We start from the raw sequence: 3,727 nt of genomic DNA on the forward strand, positions 1-3,727 counted from the left end.
TATATACACATACACCACATGATGTTATATTATATACATAGGTACACATACTACATGACGATTATTCAATCATCTATCATTGGACATGCATTGCTTTCACCTTTTGGCTATTGTAAATAGTGCTGCTATGCACATCAATGTACAAGTATCTGTTCCAGCCCCTGCTTTCAATTGCTTTGTGTATACACCTAGGAGTAGAACCGCTAGATCATATGTTAATTATGTTTAATTCTGTTAAATTTTTTGAACTGCCAAATTATTTTCCATAGCACTTCACCATTTTCCATTCCCACCAGCAACCCAGGAAGATTTCTGCTTTTCCACATCCATGCCAGCATTTATTTTCTGTTTTTTTTTTTTTCATAATAGCCTTCCTAATGGGTATGATGTGGCATTTCACTGTGGTTTTGATTTGTGTTTCCCTGATGGCTAGTGATGTTAAGCATCTTTTCATGAGCTTATTGACCATTTATGTATCTTCTCTGGAGACACGCCTATTCAAGTCCATTGCCCATTTTATGAATTTAGGTTTTTTGGTTTTTGTAGGAGTTCTTTATATATCCTGGGTATAAATCCCTTATCAGATATGTGATTTGCAAATATTTTCTTTCATTCTGTGGGTTGCTTTTTCACTCTCTTGACAGTATCCTTTGATGCATTAACAGGATTAGATTCTGGATATATTCACTGACTTATTCAGCTTGTATTAATTGAGTGCCAGCTTTGTCCCAGGAGCTCTGGAGGCACTAGAGATTTAGCAGGGAAAAAGGCATGCTTGGTCTCAGGGTGAGAGAAAAGGAGGGTGGATAAAGGCATTTAGAAAATCCCTTTTTAACACTATAGCCTGCCTCCCATGGCTGAAATCTTGCTGCATAATCCTGTTTTCCATGTCAGAAGCAGAGAATTACCTTTCTCTTTGCCTTATTGGTGTTAACAAATTTCACTTCTCCCTAGGCAGAAAGATGGCTTGAGCCACTTGAGGCCCAGATCTTTGGTGATGTTGCAGAAGGCAATAAAGACCTAGCTTTTTTCTCTATGGAATACAGTGAGCCTCTGAAGAGGCCTGCACAATGGAGGAGCTCTAGAACTTAAATTTCATTTGCTTTAAAATAAATGTACTTCTGGGCTTCTGAGCCACTTTGAGAACATTTCTGAGGACAAAAATCAATGCTGCCTGCCAATATAGCCAACAGCTGCTGCAAAACAGCAGGGCCTGGTTTTGAAGGAAGGTAGGAGCAGGACCTCCCTGATCCACTGTGGTCTTCTCCTCCAAGGGGACCAACAGCATTCTTTTGACCGTAGATTTAATGGTTATGCCCAACAAGTTATTGGAGCAAAATGCTGGGGAAGGTAATGTAAACCAAAAATAAAATTCTAAGCCCTCCAACCATTTGAATGGACCCTTTTTCTCAGCCAAGGGCATTCTAAAGTTAACCTGAAAAACTAGTTGAGGCCATGACAGGAAGCGGGAGTTGGGCATGTCTCATTATTCCCTCCTCCCTTTTGTAATTCAGACACATCTGATCAACAGTAACATTAAAACACATCTTAAGGGTGATAGAAGAGACTCTAAGTCTGATAAGAAATGGTTACAATCTATTCTCTCTGAAGCCTCCTACCTGGAGGCTTCATCTGCATGATGAAACCTTGGTCTCCACCACCCCTTATCTTTACCCAGACATTCCCTTCTACGGATTCCAGGTCTTTAGATAATAACTCAACCAATTTCCAATGAGAAAATCTTTGAATCTGCCTATGACTGGAAGCCCCCACTTCCAGTTGTCCTGCCTTTCTGGACCAAACCAATGTACATCTTATATGTATTGATTGATGTCTTATGTCTCCCTAAAATGTATAAAACCAAGTTGTAGGCTGACTCCCTTGGGCACATGTTCTCAGGATCTCCTGACAGCTATGTCACAGGCCATTGATCACTCATATTTGGCTCATAATAAATCTCATCAAATATTTTACAGAGTTTAATTTTTTTCATCGACAGTAGGAGAGACAATCCTCTAACTCCATTTTTCTGGTACTGTGAAGAGGGATTTTTTTTCCCAAACAGTCTTGCCACACCTTCCTCATTGATTCTCAGGAAAGAGAATCAGCAAAGTGATGAATTTGATACAAGTAATCCCTTTGTGCCTTTTTCTTTGGGAAAATGATTTACACAGAAGTCATCGTCCCTTTTATATTTGGTTTAAGATCAAGCTCAAGATCTCCAAGTAAAGTTTTGTTGCTAATGAAAAATGTTGTGCAATTGAGGGAAATTTTATTTAACCACGCTGGAAGACTGAATTGTCTTTCTATTCTTTCTACATAAAATGATATTATAAAACCATTGTTTTGTGAAGGGGTAATCAAAAAGTATGCAGCCAAAATAATGTAGAGAGGATGTGAGGCCAATCTGGCTGCGACATCTGTCACCCCACTAATCGTCAGGGTTGATTCGGCTGATCTGGCTGGCTAGGTGGGTGTCCCCTTCCTCCCTTACCACTCTATGTGTGTCCCTCCTGAAGCTGCGCACTCGGTCGAAGAGGACAACCGTCCCTGATAGAGGAGGACCGGTCTTCAGTCAAGGGTATACAAGCAGCTGCGCTCCCCTGCTAGAACCTTCAAACAAGCTTTCAAAATAATGTAGAAGAGTGACAATATTTATTAATATGTATTTAATAAATATATTTTTTGGTTAAAAATAATATTAACATGTCAATTTCTAGATGAGCAGTATTTGTGGTCTTTGTCAGTTTTATAAAATCATAACTTGTTGTGATTTCTCTTTTCTTTTTTTGTTTTTTTTTTTTTTTGAGACAGAGTCTCGTTCTGTTGCCCAGGCTGGAGTGCAGTGGCACCGTCTCAGCTCACTGCAAGCTCTGCCTCCCGGGTTTACACCATTCTCCTGCTTCAGCCTCCCGAGTAGCTGGGACTACAGGCGCCCGCAACCTCACCCGGCTAATTTTTTGTATTTTTAGTAGAGACAGGGTTTCATCGTGTTAGCCAGGATGGTCTCAATCTCCTGACCTCATGATCCGCCAGCCTCGGCCTCCCAAAGTGCTGGGATTACAGGCGTGAGCCACCGTGCCCGGCTGTGACTTCTGTTTTCAATCTAAACAAATATTCACTTTCATATCTACTTTGATATTCATAATTTTGTTCTTAAAAGTTTCCCTCATATTGTATACACATCAGGCCTCACAAAACCTAGATCCATCCCCCCCACCCCCACATTAATCAAATTAACTCTGAGGTACTAAAAAGCTATAAATCTACTTCCTCTTCTATTTTCCATCCCAAATTAAGTTCATCATGTTGTTCAGTACAGCCTACCAAAGGTTGTGCAGTGAGCTCAAATGACATCATAATGACAATAAAATGCCAACAACACATGCCTCCTGTCATGAAGTCACCATGGATTCAAAGTTCAAAGATTAAAATCTCAAAGAAGTTAAAGTCCAGGAATTTTATGTTACAGTTCAAAGGAATTAATCCAATATGTTTACCCTTGTGAATTAAAGTGTAAAGTCCAAATCCCTTAGGTTAACTAAAAAAGAAACTAAAGGTGGCACACGCATGCTCTCCCAGCTATTTGGAAGGCTGAGAGGGGAGCATCACTTGAGCCCAGGATTTTGAAACCAGCCTGAGCAATAGAGTAAGAGTCTATCTCTAAAAAAAGGAAAGAAAGAAAGAGATATGGTTTGGATTTGTGTTCCCGCCCAAATCTCATGTC

General features: G+C 40.1%; 1 pseudogene; it reads left to right on the forward strand.

The window, feature by feature from the left end:
- RN7SKP204 (RN7SK pseudogene 204) lies at window positions 2,393-2,645 on the forward strand (annotated as a pseudogene).

Source organism: Homo sapiens, chromosome 6 (genome assembly GCF_000001405.40).
Source record: "Homo sapiens chromosome 6, GRCh38.p14 Primary Assembly".
Lineage (NCBI taxonomy): Eukaryota > Metazoa > Chordata > Mammalia > Primates > Hominidae > Homo > Homo sapiens.